This window comes from Homo sapiens, chromosome 11 (assembly GCF_000001405.40).
Source record: "Homo sapiens chromosome 11, GRCh38.p14 Primary Assembly".
NCBI classification, from domain to species: Eukaryota; Metazoa; Chordata; class Mammalia; order Primates; family Hominidae; genus Homo; species Homo sapiens.
The window spans coordinates 73,686,997-73,705,673 of record NC_000011.10 but is presented as its reverse complement, the minus strand read 5'-3'; the positions used below and the strand labels follow the sequence as shown (position 1 = coordinate 73,705,673).

At 42.0% G+C, this 18,677-nt stretch overlaps 1 protein-coding gene and 1 pseudogene across 4 annotated transcripts in view; both read left to right on the top strand.

Moving 5' to 3' along the window:
* RAB6A (RAB6A, member RAS oncogene family) overlaps positions 1-18,677 on the top strand; it is an 85,437-nt gene that overhangs the window by 55,401 nt on the left and 11,359 nt on the right. The gene's annotated exons all lie outside the window — the stretch shown is intronic.
* Positions 13,145-14,345, top strand: LOC268276 (musashi RNA binding protein 1 pseudogene; annotated as a pseudogene).

The following is an 18,677-nucleotide window of genomic DNA, read 5'->3' as shown; positions in this document are numbered from 1 at the left end:
TTTGTGTAATACCATTATATTAGCCATATGCCACTATTCTAAGACAAAGCAGTGGGTAGCTTCATCTGGCTTTCTCTTTTCTATTTCTTATATATATTTTCTCTTATATTTATTTATTTTTTTATTTGAGACAGGGTCTTGCTGTGTCAGCCAGGCTGAGTGCAGTGGTGCAATCTCGGCTCACTGCAACCTCTGCCTCCAGGGTTCAAGTGATTGTCATGCCTCACACTCCCCAGTAGCTGGGATTACAGGTGTGCAGCACCATTCCCGGCTAATTTTTGTACTTTTAGTAAAGACAGGGTTTCACCTTGTTGGCCAGGCTTGACTCAAACTCCTGGCCTTAAGTGATCTGCCTGCCTCTGTCTCCCAGAGTGCTGGAATTACAGGTGTGAGCCACCACACCCAGCTGGCTTTCTCTTTTAGAGACATTTTGATAAGGGTGTGAGCTAGTTGCTTATATATCCTGGTACAGGCTGTCCTTTTCCTGGTTAATAGCTAAAGAAGGCATTGCTGTAGTCCCCTAGCCCTGACCCTAAGTAGTCTCATAGGTTTAGAAACTCTAGAATTATCAGATAGCATACAGTAAGCACCACTGATGTCTAGTATCTTCATAATGTTTGATTGCTTCCAATTTTATTTTTATTATTTTTGTTATTTATTTATTTATTATTTATTTTCGAGATGGAGTCTCGCTCTGTCATCGAGGCTGGAGTGCAGTGGCGTGATCTCGGCTCACTGCAAGCTCCGCCTCCCAGGTTCACGCCATTCTCCTGCCTCAGCCTCCCGAGCAGCTGGGACTACAGGCGCCCACCACCACGCCTGGCTAATTTTTTGTATTTTTAGTAGATAGGGGGTTTCACCGTGTTCACCAGGATGGTCTCGATCTCCTGACCTCGTGATCTGCCCACCTCGGCCTCCCAAAGTGCTGGGATTACAGGTGTGAGCCACTGCACCCAGACTATTTTTATTTTTTATTTATTTATTTTTTTTGAGATGGAGTCTCACTCTGTCGCCAGGCTGGAGTGCAGTGGCACGATCTCAGCTCACTGCAACCTCTGCCTCCTGGGTTGAAGTGATTCTCCTGCCGCAGCCTCCCGAGTAGCTGGGACTACAGTCGAGCGCCACCATGCCCAGCTAATTTTTTTGTATTTTTAGTAGAGACGGAGTTTCACTATGTTGGTCAGGATGGTCTCGATCTCCTGACCTCGTGATCTGCCTGCCTCGGTCTCCCAAATTGCTGGAATTACAGGTGTGAGCCACCATGCCTGGCCCTTCTTATTTTTATTTTTTTGAGTTGTGGTCTTGCTCTGTTGCCCAGGCTGGAGTGCAGTGGCATGATCACAGCTCATTGCAGCCTTGACCTCTCAGGCTCAAGTGATTCTCCCACCTCAGCCTCCAGAATAGCTGGGACTACAGGCACACACCACCATGCCCAGCTAATTTTTAATTTTTTTCCAGAGAATAGGTTCTTGCCATGTTGCCCAGGCTAGTCTTGAACTCCTAGACTCAGGTGATCCTCCCAACTTGGCCTCGAAGATTTCGAGATTATAGGTATGAGCCCCTCTGCCTGGTCGATTTTTAGTAAATTTATAGCATTGTACAACTATTACCATAATCTGATGTTAGAAATTTTTTTTTTTTTTTTGAGATGGAGTCTCCCTCTGTTGCCCAGGCTGGAGTGCAGTGGCACCACCTCGGCTCACTGCAACCTTGCCTCCCGGGTTCAAGCAGTTCTCCTGCCTCAGCCTCCCAAATAGCTGGGACTACAGGCGCATGCCACCACGCCCAGCCAATTTTTGTATTTTTATATGATCCTGACCTCAAGATCCATCCATCTCGGCCTCCCAAAGTGCTGGGTATACAGGCGTGAGCCACGGCGCCCAGCCCTTCTTACTTTTAATTTAGATTGTTTTTGTTTTTGTTTTGGGTTTTTTTTAGACAGTCTTGCTCTGTTGCCCAGGCTGGAGTGAGTGGCACAATCTTGGCTCACTGCAACCTCCGCCTCCCTGGTTCAAGTGATTCTCATGCCTCAGCCTCCTGCCTAGCTGGGATTATAAGTGCATGCCACTGTGTCTAGCTAATTTTTATATTTTTTGTAGAGACAGGGTTTTGCCACGTTGGCCAGGCTGGTCTGAAACTCCTGGCCTTAGGTGATACGCCCACCTCAGCCTTTCAAAGTGCTGAGATTACAGGCGTGAGCCACTGTATCTGGCCAGAAATTTTTTAATTGTCAGTTTATTCTGCCTCCCCACTAAACAACAAACTCCATAAATGTTCATTGAATGAATGATAATATACTTTATTTTTTTTTAGCAGATTCTTAGAGCTGCATTGTTTTGCCATAAAAATAAGATTTATTTCATGTCCTTGGTTCTGTCTTAAGAATTTTCTTAGCTAGACTGAACAAGCCCTAGAGAAGCCAGGTTACTTGGAGAATTGCCCTTCATTTGCTGTTTTGACTACACCTTAGACATAGATACATGTTCATCTTCCGTTTCTTTGCATTCACCTGAACCCATGTTGAATTTTTTTTTTCCAATTTTTTTTAATTAGGCCAGGCATGGTTGCTCATGCCTATAATCCCAGCACTTTCGGAGGCTGAGGCAGGCGGATCACTTGAGGTCAGGAGTTCTACTAAAAAATTAAAAAATTAGCTGGATGTGGTCTCATACACCTGTAATCCCAGCTACTCGGGAGTCTGAGGCAAGAGAATCACTTGAACCCAGGAGGCGGAGATTGCAGTGAGCCAAAATCACACCACTGCACTCCAGCCTGGGTGACAGAGCGAGACTCTGTCTCAAGAAAAAAAAAAATAATAATATATATAAAATTGAGATAAACATTTATGTACAGTGAAATGTATACATCTTAAATTGACTATTAGATGAGTTTTGGTAAATGTATTTACAGGTATAATGACCACAGCAATGAAGATATGGAAATATGTTGTTAATTTCCCAATGTTTAGGGACATTTCTAGATAATCTTAATTGTTACTGGCTTCTAATTTAATTCTGTTATAGTCAGAGAATACACTCTGTAATATTTCAGTCATTTGTAATTTATTGAGACAAGTTTTATGGCCTATCATATGGTCTATCTTATTGAATGTTCTTATATGTACTGGAAAAAGAATTTTTTTTACAGTTATCAGGTATACTAGTTAACATGTTTGACAGCATTCTCAAACCTTATATAGCCTGGCTGGGCACAGCGGCTCATGCCCATAATCCCAGCACTTCAGGAGGTGGATGTGGGAGGATCACTTGAGGCCAGGAGTTCAAAACCATCCTGGTCAACATAGTGAAACCCTGTCTCTACAAAAGTAGAAAAATTTTTTTGAAAATTAGCTGAGCATGGTGGCATGCACCTGTAGTTCCAGCTACTCAGGAGACTGAGGCAGAGGATTGCTTGAGCCCAGGAGTTCAAGGCTGCAGTGAGGCATGATTGCGCCACTGCATTCCAGCCTAAGCAACAGAACAAGACTGTCTCAATAAACAAAAAAACACCTTATATATCCTTACTAGTTTTTTGTCCAGTTCTGTCGATAACTGAGAAGGGGATATTGAAACCTATAACAACAACGATGTATTGTTCGCTTTGCTGATTAGTTCTGTCAGCTGTTACTTCTTGTATTTTGAAGTTATGTTAGTAAGTGTATACATATTTAGGATCATTATGTCTTCATTATCTGTTGACTTTTTGTATGTAAAGAACTGTCCCTCGTGGGCTGTGTGTGGTTGCACAGGCCTGTATTCCCAGCGCTTTTGGGAGGCCAAGGCAAGGCAGGCTGATTTCTTGAGCCCAGCAATTGAGACCTGCTTGGGCAACATGACGAAACCCTGTCTCTACAAAAAAACACAGAAATTAACCCAGCGTGGTAGTCCCAACTACTTGGGAGGTTGAGCTGGGTGGATTGCTTGGCCCAGGGGGTCGAGGCAGCAGTGAGCTGAGATCACACCACTGCACTCCAGCCTGAGCAATAGAGCAAGACCCTGTCTCAAAATAAAAAACAAAAAACACGAAAGAAAAAAGAAATGTCCCCATATCCAGAGTTAATCATTGCTGTATGTACAAGAGTGTTAGTCTTATACAAGCTGCTCTGCTATTACCAAAGCTAAAGTCTGCACTGAATTTATAGGGGTAAAAATTAAAATATCTGATAAAGGAAATAAAACTGATTATCGTGAAATAATCTCTGATCTCTTCTGAGTTCTTGCTATGTAGGTCAGTCACAATTCAGAAGTTGTGCTGGTATTCAGGACTTTCTGAGGTAAATTTCACAGTCTAGTCACTGTCTTGGAAAACATTGAGAATCACAGTCTTACATGCCTGTTATTACCGTTGTGTGTTTTCTCAGCTGTGTATGTTTGTAAGCAGAACTATTTTTGATTTTTGATTGTACTCATTTTATTTGACAAAATCATGCCTTTTTACCAGAAGATACACAGAAGTCTTTCTGTATATAAGGTATATATTTATCAGTACTATAGGTACCATGTAGTTCTACTTTTCCATATACAGAGTTGTTTCCTAGCTTTCTGCTAATCTAACTGGATTCCTCTTCCCCATTTCCTCATTTACTAGATTATAATGCACATCACATAATAAAAGCTTAAAAATGGGCTTTCACAGTTACTGTTTTCTTTTTAAATAATTGTGAGAGAGCTTTTACATCATTTATTATCTAATCATGATTCAAGTGACTAGGCTGTAGCACCCAAGAACCTTGCCTTAAAACAGTTTATTTTACCCAATAATACTACTTTGCCTTCTTACTTAAAAATGTCCTGTGCTTAACCCTTTTGCTCTTTATTTTGATTTAAGCACTTGACCCTAAAGTCCTGCTTCTGTCTTACAGAAGATTGTTGTCATTTAAAAAATAAAACAATCAGTACTAGAACTAGCATAAATAGTAATATCTAACATGATCATTTGTATTATATAGCATATTTAAGTAAAATGTGTTTCATTCCATTCAGTATTTCATAAAAAGACAGCCTCTGAAAAATAGTTTTACTCCTTAGATTTCTCATCCACTACCCTCCTCCCCCCCCCCCCCCCACACACACACTTTTTTTTTTTTTTTTGAGACAGGGTCTTGCTCTGTCACCCAGGCTGGAGTATAGTGGTATGAACACGGCTCACTGCAGCCTTGAACTGCTGGGCTCAAGCAATCCTCCTGCCTCATCAGCCTTCTAAGTAGCTAGGACTACAGGCCCCCACTATCATACCCAGCTAATTATTTATTTTTCCTAGAGATGGGTCTTGCTATATTGCCCAGGCCTCAAGTGATCCACCAGCCTTGGCCTCCCAAAGTGTTGGAATTACAGGTGTGAGCCATGGTGCCTGGCCCAAATTCTTTTTTTCTAATGCATAAGTATTACTTTGTTTTTGAAAGTGGTATGGTGTTTAAATTGCTGAAGAAATGATAATGATAAGGTGATTACTTTAGCCTTCACCTGGCTTTTCATCTGGGAATTAGTACATTCTTTTAGTGAAGCAATAAGTGTGTGGTGTCACCTTATTATATATTTTGTAGTACTGAAAAATGGAAAAAGAAAAGAAAAACTCCTTGATCTTCAACTTCTAAAATCATTAGTACTTATCATAAAAAGAAGATTTGTTTGAAAGAGAGAAGACTTTATGAGAAACTAGTGATAGCTGATGGGCATCAGCTCTAACAGGTCAATGAAAGCTTGTGTACATACTAACCATGGAGTTGCAATGTTATATGTATGGGAAAATTATTTTATATTGGCTGAAATAGTATATGTACCTTATGCATTGGTGGTGATCATATCTTTTCCTCATCACTATATCTCCCATGTCTACCACAGTTGGCTTATAGCAGGTGTTAATCTTGGGCTTTTGTCATGTACCTAAATCCATAGGTATCAAGTGTGGCACGCTAGACCACTGTAGGTACTTTGGAAAATAAAAAGTTATGTAAAATGTGGTTCCTAACTTCAAGAAACTTATGATATTGTTGGGAAGAAGAGTCACATTCTCATGAAGACTGTGCAGTAAAGAATGGGTCATACATGATAAATTCCTAGCAAATGCTACAGACAGTAAGATACATCGTAATTATTGAGAAGCAAGGCCAGGCGCAGTGGCTCACACCTCTGAGCCTGAGTTGGGAGGCTTGCTTGAAAGCCAGGTGTTTGAGACCAGCCTTGGCAAAAAAGGGAAAACTTGTCTCTACAGAATAATGAAAAATAAATAAAAATTTAAAAATTACCTAGCTCTGGTTGAGTGTCTGTAGTCCCAGCTATTCAGGAGCCTGAGAGAGCCTGAGATGGGACCGTCACTTGACCCCAGGAGTTGGAGGTTGCAGTGAGCTATTAGCACGCCACTGCACTCCAGCCTGGATGACAGAGCAAGACCCTTGATTCAAAAAAATTAAAAAGGAGAGAAGCAAAACGAATGCTGGCACAAAGAGGTTTATTGACTAATTGAATGATATCACATATAGTTAGAATGGTTGAGGAATGCTTTGTTTAAAAAACAGCATTATCGGCCTGGCGCAGTGGCTCAAACATGTAATCCCAGCACCTTGGGAGGCCAAGGTGGGTGAATCACCGGAGGTCAGGAGTTCGAGACCAGCCTGACCAACATGGTGAAACTCTGTCTCTACTAAAAATACAAAAAATTAGCTGGGTGTGGTGGCGGGCGCCTGTAATCCCAGCTACTGGGAAGGCTGAGGCAGGAGAATCACTTGAACCTGGGAGGCGGAGGTTGGAGTGACCTGAGATTGTGCCATTGCATTACAGCCTGGGCGACAGAGCAAGACTCCATCTCAAAAAAAAAAAAAAAAAAAATCGCAAAAAAAGTATCTGAGCTGAACTGAGTGTACTTGATTTGGATAGGTAACTGGGGATGCTTCTAGGAAGAAGAAAAATTAACATATGTATGATACAAGACTACCTAGCACACATAGTGTAAATACTATGCCATGAACGTTCACTTAAAATCTTTCATATTGCCTTCCTAGCAAGCACTTTATATACAATATCTAGGTGCTTAGATACTTGTCGAATACAAGAAGGAATCTATGTAACAATCCTACGAGTCAACTGCTATTGTTGGTCTGATTTTAGAGAGAAAATCTGAAGCGTAGAAATTATATAACTTTCCTAGAATTGCCTAAATACTATCTGCTAGATCCATTTAATGTACCAAGTGTTTAACTTAATTCTCACAATATCCCTATGAAGTAGATAAGTATATTCATTTCACTGATATGAAACCAAAGTTTTAGAGGCCAAGTAACTTGCTTAAGATTATAACTTAAACTGCAATGTGAGCCCAGGTCTATTTAGTTCCAAAATCTGAGATCTTAAGCCTTATATTCTGCCTCTCTCAAATTTAACCTCACCCCAATTTATCCTTTTGTGTTTCATATCCTTAACACAGTAGGACTTTATTTTTTATTTTTATTTATTTATTTTTTTGAGAGTCTCACTCTGTCACCCAGGCTGGAGTGCAGTGGCACAATCTCGGCTCACTGCAATCTCTGCCTCCAGGGTTCAAGTGATTCTCCTACCTCAGCCTACTGAATAGCTGGGATTATAGGCATGCTCCACCTCGCCTGGCTAATTTTTGTATTTTTTAGTAGAGATGGAGTTTTGCCATGTTGGCCAGGCTGGTCTTGAACTCCTGACCTCAGGTGATCTGCCCACCTTGGCCTCCCAAAGTGCTGGGGTTACAGGCGTGAGCCACCATGCCCAGCCCACAGTAGGACTTCAGTATAACTGAATGGTCAGAAATCTATATGTATAATGAATATGAACTGACAGAGAAATTATATTGATCAGGTTTTATTCAGTCATTAATTAACTCAGATATTTGTTGATCACCTCCTGCATGCCTAGTTATGTTATAGGCACTGGGGATACAATAATGGAACAAAATACCTAAGTCTGTGCCATTATGGAGCTTACATTCTGGTATGGAGAGTTAGACAATTAGTGAAATATAATCCTTAAGGAGGTTATAGATTCTATAGAGAAAAATGAAGTAGGGGCCAGGCACAGTGGCTCATGCCTGTAATCCCAGTGTTTTGGGAGACTGAAGCAGGCAGATCACTTGAGGCCAGGAGTTCAAGATCAGCCTGGCCAACATAGTGAAACCCGTCTCTACTAAAAATACGAAAATCAGCCGAGTGTGGTGGTGCTCACCTGTAATCCCAGCTACTTAGAAGGCTGAAGCACAAGAATCACTTGAACCTGGGTGGTGGAGGTTGCAGTGAGGCGGAGGTTGCAGTGAGCCGAGACCATGCCACTGCACTCCAGTCTGGGAGACAGAGTGAGACTGTTTCAAAAAGAAAAAAAAAGAAAAGAAAAACAGAAAAATAAAGTAGGGTAAGAAGGATAAAGAATACTGGTGAAGGGAATTATGATATATTGATGTCTTATAAAAGGAGGGAAAGCCTGTCTGATAAGGTGATATTTGAGCAAAGAACTGAAGGAATTGAGAAAGTGAGCCATTTATACATCCAGGGAAGAGCATGCCAAGCTTCAAGTGCAGTGACAAATTCAAAGGAACTTGTCATGTTTAAGGAATAGTAAGGAAATTAGTAAGGTTACACTAGAGTGAAGGAAGGGGCATATGATAAGAAAAGAGCTCACAGAGATAGTTATGGAGAACAGAGGCCTTAAGACCATGTGGGCAGTAGTGAGGATTTGGCATTTTATTCCCAGTGAGAGAGGAAGCCATTTTCATGAGAGATTTGACAGGATCTCACTTAAAATTTAAAAGTAATCAGGCCAGGCACGATGGCTCATGCCCGGTAATCCCAGCACCTTGGGAGGCCAAGGTGGGAGGACTGCTTGAACCCTGGAGTTCAAGACTAGCCTGGGCAACATAGGGAGAGTGTGTGTCTGCAAAAAAAAAAAAATTCTAGGCATGGTGGTGTGTTGACTGTAGTTCCAGCTACTCCAGAGGCTGAGGTGGGAGGATTGGTTGAGCCTGGGTGGATGAGGCTGCAGTGACCCATGATCATGCATGGGAGACAGAGCAAGACCTTGTCTCAAGAAAGGAAAGAAATCACTGGCTCTTCTGTAAAAAATGATCTGTTAAGAGTAATTGAAAAACTAAATACAAGTAATAAAATAATCTTTCATTTAAGAAATACTACCAAAATTAAGATGGAGATCTAGCAAAAAGTCAAAAGCAGCTGGGCGTGGTGGCTCACACCTGTAATCCCTACACCTTGGGGAGGCTGAGGCGGGAGGATCACCTGAGGTCAGGAGTTCGAGACCAGCCTGGCCAACAGAGCCAAAGTCTCTACTGAAAATACAAAAATTAGCTTGATGTGGTGGTGGGTGCCTATAATCTCAGCTACTCAGGAGGTCGAGGCAGGAGAATTGCCTGAACCCAGGAGGCAGAGGTTGCAGTGAGCCGAGATTGTGCCACTGCACTCCAGCCTGGGTGATGAGAACAAAATTCCGTCTCAATAAAAATAAAAATAAAGTCAAAAGTCCACAAATAATGAACACTCATCTAAGAATTCAGTTATGTATAAAACACTCTTTACTCTTACATTTACTTTCATAATGGAATTTTTTCTGTAAGTTGGTAAAACTGAGTAGCTTAGTTTGCTCTTTGAAGGGTGGTATTTCTGCCTATAAACTACTTAGTTAACTTCATAAGGTAAGAACTGGTAGTCATAGTGATTTTATTTTGAAATCTCCTTCTCCAGTGTATCTCTTTACATTAAAATTATCCCTAAAAAAATTTTTAGCCCTAAAATTATGGCCTGAAATATTCAACTTGAAAGTTTCTACAGAGAACCATATTCAGCTTGTCATCATCCCTGAACTAATTACTGTACTAGCTGTCACTGCAACTTAAATATGTCTGTTGCCTCCTAGAAATTACAAATAAAATACCATACACCTGGAGGTCAGCGTGGACTTAATAAGTTTCTTAGGGAAAGAAGCTGTTCCAGCAAAGATGCCCTAGAATGTCTTCTAGAAAGTGGATTCTCGGCTGGGTGCAGTGGCTCACGCCTGTAATCCCAGTACTTTGGGAGGCCAAGGTGGGCAGATTATCAGGTCAGGAGTTCAAGACCAGCCTGACCAACATGGTGAAACCCCATCTCTACTAAAAATACAAAAAAATTAGCCAGACATGGTGTCACGCGCCTGTAATCCCAGCTACTCAGGAGGCTGAGGCGTGAGAATCACTTGAACCCGGGAGGCAGAGGTTGCAGTGAGCCGAGATTGCGCCACTGTATTCCAGCCTGGGTGACAGAGCGAGACTCCGTCTCAAAAAAGAAAAAAAAAAACAAAAAAACTGGATACTTAGTAAATATGAGGATTTTTTTTTAAGTATTACAAACTGTACTAGTCTCATACTTAGTCATTTGTGATTCCTAATATGGCAGAAGCCTTTGTTAGCATATCATTGGCATTTAAGAAATAGGTTTTTCTTTTTTTTAAACCAAGAAGTAAGTTTGAATTTGAAAACCTTTGTAAAGTTTTTTTGGCCCACTTTGGGATGTCCTGAGTTGAGTTTAGGTTAGTGACACTGATTCTTTTAATCTAATTGGAGTATTTTGGAGAAAGCACCAAGTTTGTTAAATATATAGATTAAAACTATAGATTAAAAAAATTTGGATATATTTTTATTTTTAATTTTTTTTTATTTTTTGAGACACAGTCTTGCGTGTTGCCCAGGCTTGAGTGCAGTGGCACGATCTCAGCTCACTGTTACCTCAATCTCCTGGGTTCAAGCGATTCTCGTGCCTCAGCCTGCCGAGTAGCTGGGATTGCACGCGTGTGCCACCATGCCCAGCTAATTTTTTGTATTTTTTGGTAAAGATAGAGTTTTGCCGTGTTGGCCAGGCTGGTCTCAAACTCCAGGCCTCAAGTGATCTGCCCACCTTGGCCTCCCAGAGTGCTGGAATTATAGGCATGAGCCACTGTGCCTGACCTGGTATATTTTTAAATTAATTTTCTGTAGAGACAGGATCTCCTTATTCCCAGGCTGATCTCGAACTTCTGGGCCCAAGTGATCATCCCATCTTGGCCTCCCAAAGTGCTGGGATTACAGGCATGAGCCACTGCACCCAGCCTAAAATTTTTGTCGTAAAAAAATGGATTAGCTTTTTGTGTCTGTCATTTATGTGTACTAGTATTTTACAAAACAAATTCTTCTTACCCAAGATTATTAGCTGTTTCTTCACATAGCCCTTTCACAGTGCTTTCCATATAAAAAATACTCCATTTATACTAGGCAGCTTAGGTATTATAAAAAATACGAGCTTTGGAATCTCAGCTCTGCCATTTATTTGGTCTATGGCAAATTCTTTAGCCTTAGATTTGTTTAAAATGGGGTTATTAACATTTTCCTCACAAATAAGAGGATTAAAATGAGAAAATACGTAAACATTCCAACAGAGTAAGTACTCAGTGTCTTTTCTTCCCTTCTTTGATTTGATTGTTTCACACCCTTAAAAATTGTTACTACAGCATTGGTTCTTAACCCTAGCTGCACATTAGAATCATCCAGAGATATTTGAATAAAACACGAATGGCTCAGCCCCACCCCACATCAGTTGAATCAGTCTTTGAGGGTGAGGCCCAAGCATCTGGAGTTTTGTTTGTTTTTAAGCTTCCCAGGTAATTCTGATACCGCATAGGTATTGAGAACCACTAGTCTAGAGGGAAAGACTTCACACATAACCTTTCAAGAAAGCTTTCCTGAGGTATTTCTAATAACTTTCAAAGTTAAAAATAAGGATGGGGGAGGGCCAGTGGGATCACTTTAACCTATTACTCTTACCTAGCTTTTTTTTTTTTGAAACAGTCTCAAGCTGGAGTGCAATGGCGCCATCATAACTCACTGTAGCCTCCATCTCCTGGGTTCAAGCAGTCCTCCTACTTCAGCCTCCCAAGTAGGGACTACAGGCGTCCACCACCACACCTGATTTTTTAAATTTTTAGTAGAGACGAGGTCTCACTATGTTACTAGGCTGGTCTTGAACCCCTGAGCTCAAGTGATCTCCTGCCTTGGGCTCCCAAAGTACTGGGATTATATGCATAAGCCACAGCGCCCAGCCTGTCGCTTTCTTTTCTTTCTTCTTTAAAAAAAAAAAAAAAAAAAAAAGATGGAGTCTTGCTATGTTGCCCAGGCTGGTCTCAAACTCCTACACTCCAAGTGATCCACCCGCCTCAGCCTCCCAAAGTGCTGGGATTGCAGGCGTGAGCCACTGCATCTGGCCCTGTTGCTTTCTTTAAACACATATTTCTCTGATTCATGTACCTACTGGTTAATCTTTTGGTCTCTTAACTTTCATTCATTCCAATTATATTTGCTTATGTTAATTAAATCCTTAAATCCTTTATTTATTTATTTATTTATTTATTTATTTTTTGGAGACGGAGTCTTGCTCTGTCATCCAGGCCGGAGTACAGTGGCGTGATCGCAGCTCACTGCAACCTCTGCCTCCCAGGTTCAAGCAGTTCTTCTGCTTGAGCCTACTGAGTAGCTGGGATTACAGGCGTGTGCCACCACGCATGGCTAATTTTTGTATTTTTAGTAGAGACGGAGTTTCACCATGTTGGCTAGGCTGGTCTTGAACTCCTGACCTCAGGTGATCTGCCTCTGTGCCCAGCCATTAAATCCTTTTTTTATATTTAATTGAAGATACTCATAATTGGCTTTTTTTGTTTTTTGTTTTTTTGTTTTGTTTTGTTTTGTTTTTGAGACAGTCTCGCTCTGTAGCCCAGGCTGGAGTGCAGTGGCGCGATCTCGGCTCACTGCAAGCTCCACCTCCTGGGTTCACGCCATTCTCCTGCCTCAGCCTCCCGCGTAGCTGGGACTACAGGCGCCTGCCAACACGCCCGGCTAATTTTTTTTTTTTTTTTTTTTTTTGTATTTTTAGTAGAGACAGGGTTTCACCGTGTTAGCCAGGATGGTCTTGATCTCCTGAACTTGTGATCCGCCCGCCTCCCAAAGTGCTGGGATTATAGGCGTGAGCCACCGCGCCCGGCAGGCATTTGTTTATTATCAAGTTGACGTTCATCTAATTTAGTCAGAGTTTTCCCTCACTGTAACCCTCTTATGCATGTAAGTTTGAAATCCCTTTTATACTTCTTTTTCCATTAGAACTGAATAAATTGATTTCCTTTTTCTTTCCTTTTTTTTTTTTTTTTTTTTTGAGACAGAGTCTCACTCTGTCGCTCAGGCCGGAGTGCAGTGGCGCAATCTCGGCTCACTGTAAGCTCCGCCTCCCGGGTTCACGCCATTCTCCTGCCTCAGCCTCCCTAGTAGCTGGGACTACAGGCGCCTGCCACCACACCCGGCTAATTTTTTGTATTTTTTAGTAGAGACGGGGTTTCACTGTTAGCCAGGATGGTCTTGATCTCCTGACCTCATGATCCGCCCACCTCGGCCTCCCAAAGTGCTGGGATTACAGGCGTGAGCCACTGCGCCCGGCCTTGATTTCTTTTTTTGCTCTGTTTTTGAGGTCAGGAGGATTCAGTGGGCATAAGTATTGCCAGATTTTCTTTGACTTGATATGAAAATAAGCTCTCTGAAGTCTGTGTTGGTCTGCTGAGTAGTATTGTGGATAGTTATACCCAAAGAATTAATCTGACAATTAACGTTCAATAGGTACCCAACAGCCAGCAAGTAAAGGCACTAATATAAACATTTGTGCTGCACTTTTTGCTTTCTTTTTTTTTTGGAGACAAGAGTTTTGCTCTTGTCACCCAGGCCGGAGTGCAGTGATGTGATCTCGGCTCACTGCAACCTCCGCCTCTCAGGTTCAAGTGCTTCTCCTGCCTCAGCCTCCCTAGTAGCTGGGACTACAGGCGCAAGCCACCATGCCCAGCTAATTTTTTTGTGTGCGTGTGTATTTTTAGTAGAGACGGGGTTTCCCCATATTGGCCAGGCTAGTCTTGAACTCCTGACCTCAGGTCATCCGCCTGCCTCGGCCTCCCAAAGTGCTGGGATTACAAGCGTGAGCCACCGTGCCTGGCCACTTTTTGCTTCCTAATGTGTTTTCACACCCCTTAATTATTGTTTTAGCTAACATTTTGAAAAATATCTACTGCATGTCAGATACTGGGATAACAAAGATGAAATGAGAGCCTTGCTCTCCAGAAGTTTAAAGTCTAGAGGGAAAGATAGAGAAGTAAAAATAGGCTATTACAATCAGTGCAGTAAATAACTCTGAAAGAACTACTGGTGCTACTTGGAGTATATATTTTAGTGCTGGGCATGGTAGCTCATGCCTGTGATCCCAACACTTTGGGAGGCCAGGAGTTTGAGACCATGGCAATACAGCAAGACCCCCATCCCTACAAAAAATAAAGAATTAGCTGGGTGCCCAGGGGATGCTCTGGCGAGGGCAGACCCCAGGAGAAAGCAAAAGGCGTCTCAGGGAACCCCCACATTCTCTCACTGAAGTTTCCCACCAGGATGACCCCACAGCCAGAGTCCCTTGGCAGCCCCTCACCCCAGAGCCCCCTTCTAAGGAAAAAAGAGAAGTTCAGGGCATTGGACCTTCATTAACAGTGGCCTGGCTGGCGTGGCAGGCCCAAGGCCCACTCACTGCCATCCCCTTTCTGTGTGTCCCTGTCCCCTAGTTCTAAGGCCCAGGGCCTGAGCTCTCTTCCCCAGCATCGCCCCCCCACCCCCGAAAAACCCCGCCTTTGGAGAGTTAATTTTCTGTGTGAGGTGCTTAACCTATCAGGCCTGAGAACACAAAGCAGTAATCTTTGTTACTGAGATGCGGCTGTTCGTGTTTTGGGTTTTTTTTTTTTAATGTTTCCTAATAAAAGAAGCTGCATTTTGTTGGTTTTTATTTTTAATTTTCTACACATTTGAGCTGAGTCCAGAGACACTTAGCTTCCCTGTCCCCCATACCCGGACCCTTCCACCCCACTGGACCCAACCATGGGCTCAGAACCCTGGAATTCCGTTTGCTGATTTGTTTGGGTTTTTTTTTTTTTTTTTTTTAAGATGTTACATGGTATTTCGAAGCCAGCAAGTTACCACCCTCCGGTGTCTCTTCTCTCCACATCTGTAACTTCTTTTTCCAGGTTTTATTTTCAGTTTTAAATTCCTAATAAATTATTTGAAAATGTTAAAAAAAAAAAAAGAATTAGCTGGGTGCCTTGGCACATCCCTGTAGTCCTAGCTACTCAGGAGGCTGAGGCAGGAGGATTGCTTGAACCCAGGAGTTCAAGGCTATCATGAGTTATGATCACATTTTCATTGCACTCCAGCCTGGCAACACAGTGAGACAGTGTATTTTTTAAAAAGATTTTATTAGACAGGAGGAAGAAGATTTAAGGAACTGGGGAGTGAGTTAGAGAAGCTTTTAAGGAGTTATCAAGGAATGGGTCCTGAAGGATGAGTGTCAGCTAGGCAAATTGAACTGGGAGGGTATTCCAAGGAGAAGCATCATCATTGTGTCCTTTGAACTTCACAACTGTATCCCCTTTTTATTAGAATGAATCTAAGAATTAGAGATAGTAAATATCCTTGAGATTACAAAGCTGTAATAATGGGGTAGTTAATAGTAGAGTTTCTTTCTGGGCTTGTATTCTATGCTCTTTCTATATGCACATTAAATGCTGTATTAAATTATGGAAATAGGCTTTTACCCTTTCTGCCTTACACCATGTGAAAAGAAGTTTTCCCCTCCTCCAGAGTGTTGACAAAAAAAGCCAAACTGTAAAATATTTAAAGAGGTCTATTTTGAGCCAAATATGAGTGATCATGCCTGAGTCGGTCTTTTTTTTTTTTTTTTTTTTTTGAGACGGAGTCTCACTGTGTTGCCCAGACTGGGGTGCAGTGTTGCAATGTCCACTCACTGCAACCTCCACAGAGGCACAGTCGAGATTCTGAGAACATCTGCCCAAAGTAGTTGGGTTACAGCTTGGTTTTATACATTTTAGGGAAACATAAGACCTCAGTCCGTACATATGACATAGACATTGGTTTGGTCTGGAAAGGTAGGACAACCCAAAGTGGTGGTGGGGGTTGAGGGGAACTTGTAGGTCATAAGTGGATTCAGAGATTTTCTGAGTGGCAATTGGTTGAAAGAGTTATCTAAAGACCTGGAATCAATAGAAAGGAGGAGTGTCTAGGCTAAGATAAAAGGTTGTGGAGACCAAGGTTATTACGATGTAGGTCAGGGGTCCCCAACCCTTGGGCCACAGCCCAATACTGGTCCGTGGCCTGTTAGGAACCAACCCACACAGCAGGAGATGAGCAGCAGGTAAGCCAGCATTACAGCCTGAGCTCTGCCTCCTGTCAGATCAATGGCAACATGATATTCTCCTAGGAGCATGAACACTATTGTGAACTGCACATTGGAGGGATCTAGGTTGCACACTCCTTACAAGAATCTAAGTAATGCCTGAAAATCACAGGTGGAACAGTTTCATCCCAAAACTATCTGCACCCCAGTCCATGGAAAAATTGTCTTACAGGAAACCGGTCCCTGGTGCCAAAAAGGTTGGGGATCGCTGATGTAAATGAAGTCTCATAGGTGGCTGCCCTTAGAAGCAATTTTTTTTTTTTTCTTGAGACAGGGTCTCCCTCTGTCTTCCAGGCTGGAGTGCAGTGGCATAATCACAGCTCACTACAGCCTCAACTTCTGGGCTCAAATGCTCTTCCCACCTCAGCCTCCTGAATAGCTTGGACTACAGGAGCCTACCACCACACCTGGCTAATTTTTTATAGAGACAAGGTCTCCCTGTGTTGCCCAGGGTGGTCTGGAACTCCTGGGCTCAAATGATCCAACCACCTCGGCTTCCCAAAGTGCTGGGATTACAAGAGTGAGCCACTGCCTGGTGGCAAGTGTTTCTTATTTAGACCTTTAAAAGTTGCTAGACTCTGAGTTAATCTCTTCAGGATTGGGAGAACCTGGAAGGGGAAAAAATCTACTTATGTAAATAGAAATGTTTTACAGATGCAAGTTTTCTCTTCACAAAGTGGCCCTTTGCAGGGCTATTTATGGCAAAAAGAATGTTATTTGGGGGTAAGATATTTTGATTTCCTTTATCTGTAATGTGATACTATACTAGAGTCAGGTGGTAAATCCTTAGCAGAAGACCCAGGGACAAGATCTCTTAAGAGTTCAAGATATAGAAAGTACACAGAATGGCACCAACTCATTAGCAATTCTCTTATTTCTCCGGAGCCAGAACGTGATGGACACAGAGACTAATTCATTGTATTTTATATATCATCAACTAGGCTCAAATCTGTCTCTCTCTTCCTGGGAGTCTACCCCGCTGTTGAGACTGCAAACTAAGCCTTCCAGAGATGGTAAATAGGACTTCAAGAGACAGAGACAGGCACAAGAGGCACTGCACAGCCCTACTGACCCAGCCTAGATCCAGAGTTCAGCAGACCATGAGACAATGAAAGGATATTTAGTAATCTTTTTTCAGAAGTCACAGTAATGATTTATTTGGGCAAAAATCACCAATTGGTATTAAAACCTTAAAGTGAAAATTTGACAAAGAATGATAAGAGATATACATAATTGCAGAGAATCTCCTCTCATACTTATTAATCACAAAAGGAAAGTTGGTAATTTGGCAGTGAAGAAACTTGACCAGCTCTACCTTAATTTAACCAAGTGGCTAAAATTCACTTCACCAGTAAGGGCACAAACCAGCATAAGGTGCCTCCTGATATGATACACTAAGAAAGACACTATCTCTTCTGTAGTATTACTGACAAAAAGTGAGTAAGGTAAAACTAAACATTAGGAAGCAACAAGCAAATCCAAATTACTTGACAGTCTACAAGGTAACATCCGTGACTTCTTTTTTTTTCTTGAGATGGAGTTTCCCTCTTGTTGCCCAAGCTGGAGTGCAGTGGTGAAATCTCGGCTCACTGCAACCTCCGCCTCCCGGGTTCAAGTAATTCTCCTGCCTCATCCTCCCAAGTAGCTGGGATTACAGGCATCGGTCACCACACCTGGCTAATTTTTTGTATTTTTAAAAGAAACGGGGTTTCATCATGTTAGCCAGGCTGGCCTGGAACTCCTAACCTCAGGTGATCCGCCCACCTCGGCCTCCCAAAGTGCTGGGATTACGAGTGGCATGAGCCACCGTGCCTGGCCCCATGTACTTTTCAACAATGAATAATGACAATAGGAATGGAGAAAAAATAGACTAGTCCAGAAAATATTTAGCGAGTGCCTCTCTTGAGCTGGGCACAGTGGCTCACACCTAAAATCCCAGCATTTTGGGAGGCCAAGATGAGAGGATTGCTTGAGCCCAAGAGTTTGTGCCTAAGATTGTGTTCATTATCCTAAGATTGTATCCATTTTCCGTAGACAAAATAGGATTTTTTTAAAGTACATTCACACTATAGTGCAAAAATCACTGCTATCCATCCAGAACCCTTTTCATTCTTGTAAAATTGACATTCTGTACCCATTAAATAATAACTCCTTATTTCCCCCTTCCCCCAGCCATTGACAGCCAGCCATTCTACTTTGTGTCTGTGAATTTGATTACTCTAGGTATCTCATATAAGTGAACTCATACAATATTTGTTCCTTTGTGTGTGACTTGTTTCACTTGCATAATGTCCTCAAGATGCATCCATATTGTAGTAGGTGTCAGAATTTCTTTCCTTTTTAAGGCAGAATAATACTGCATTTTATGGATATACTATGTATAATATATAAT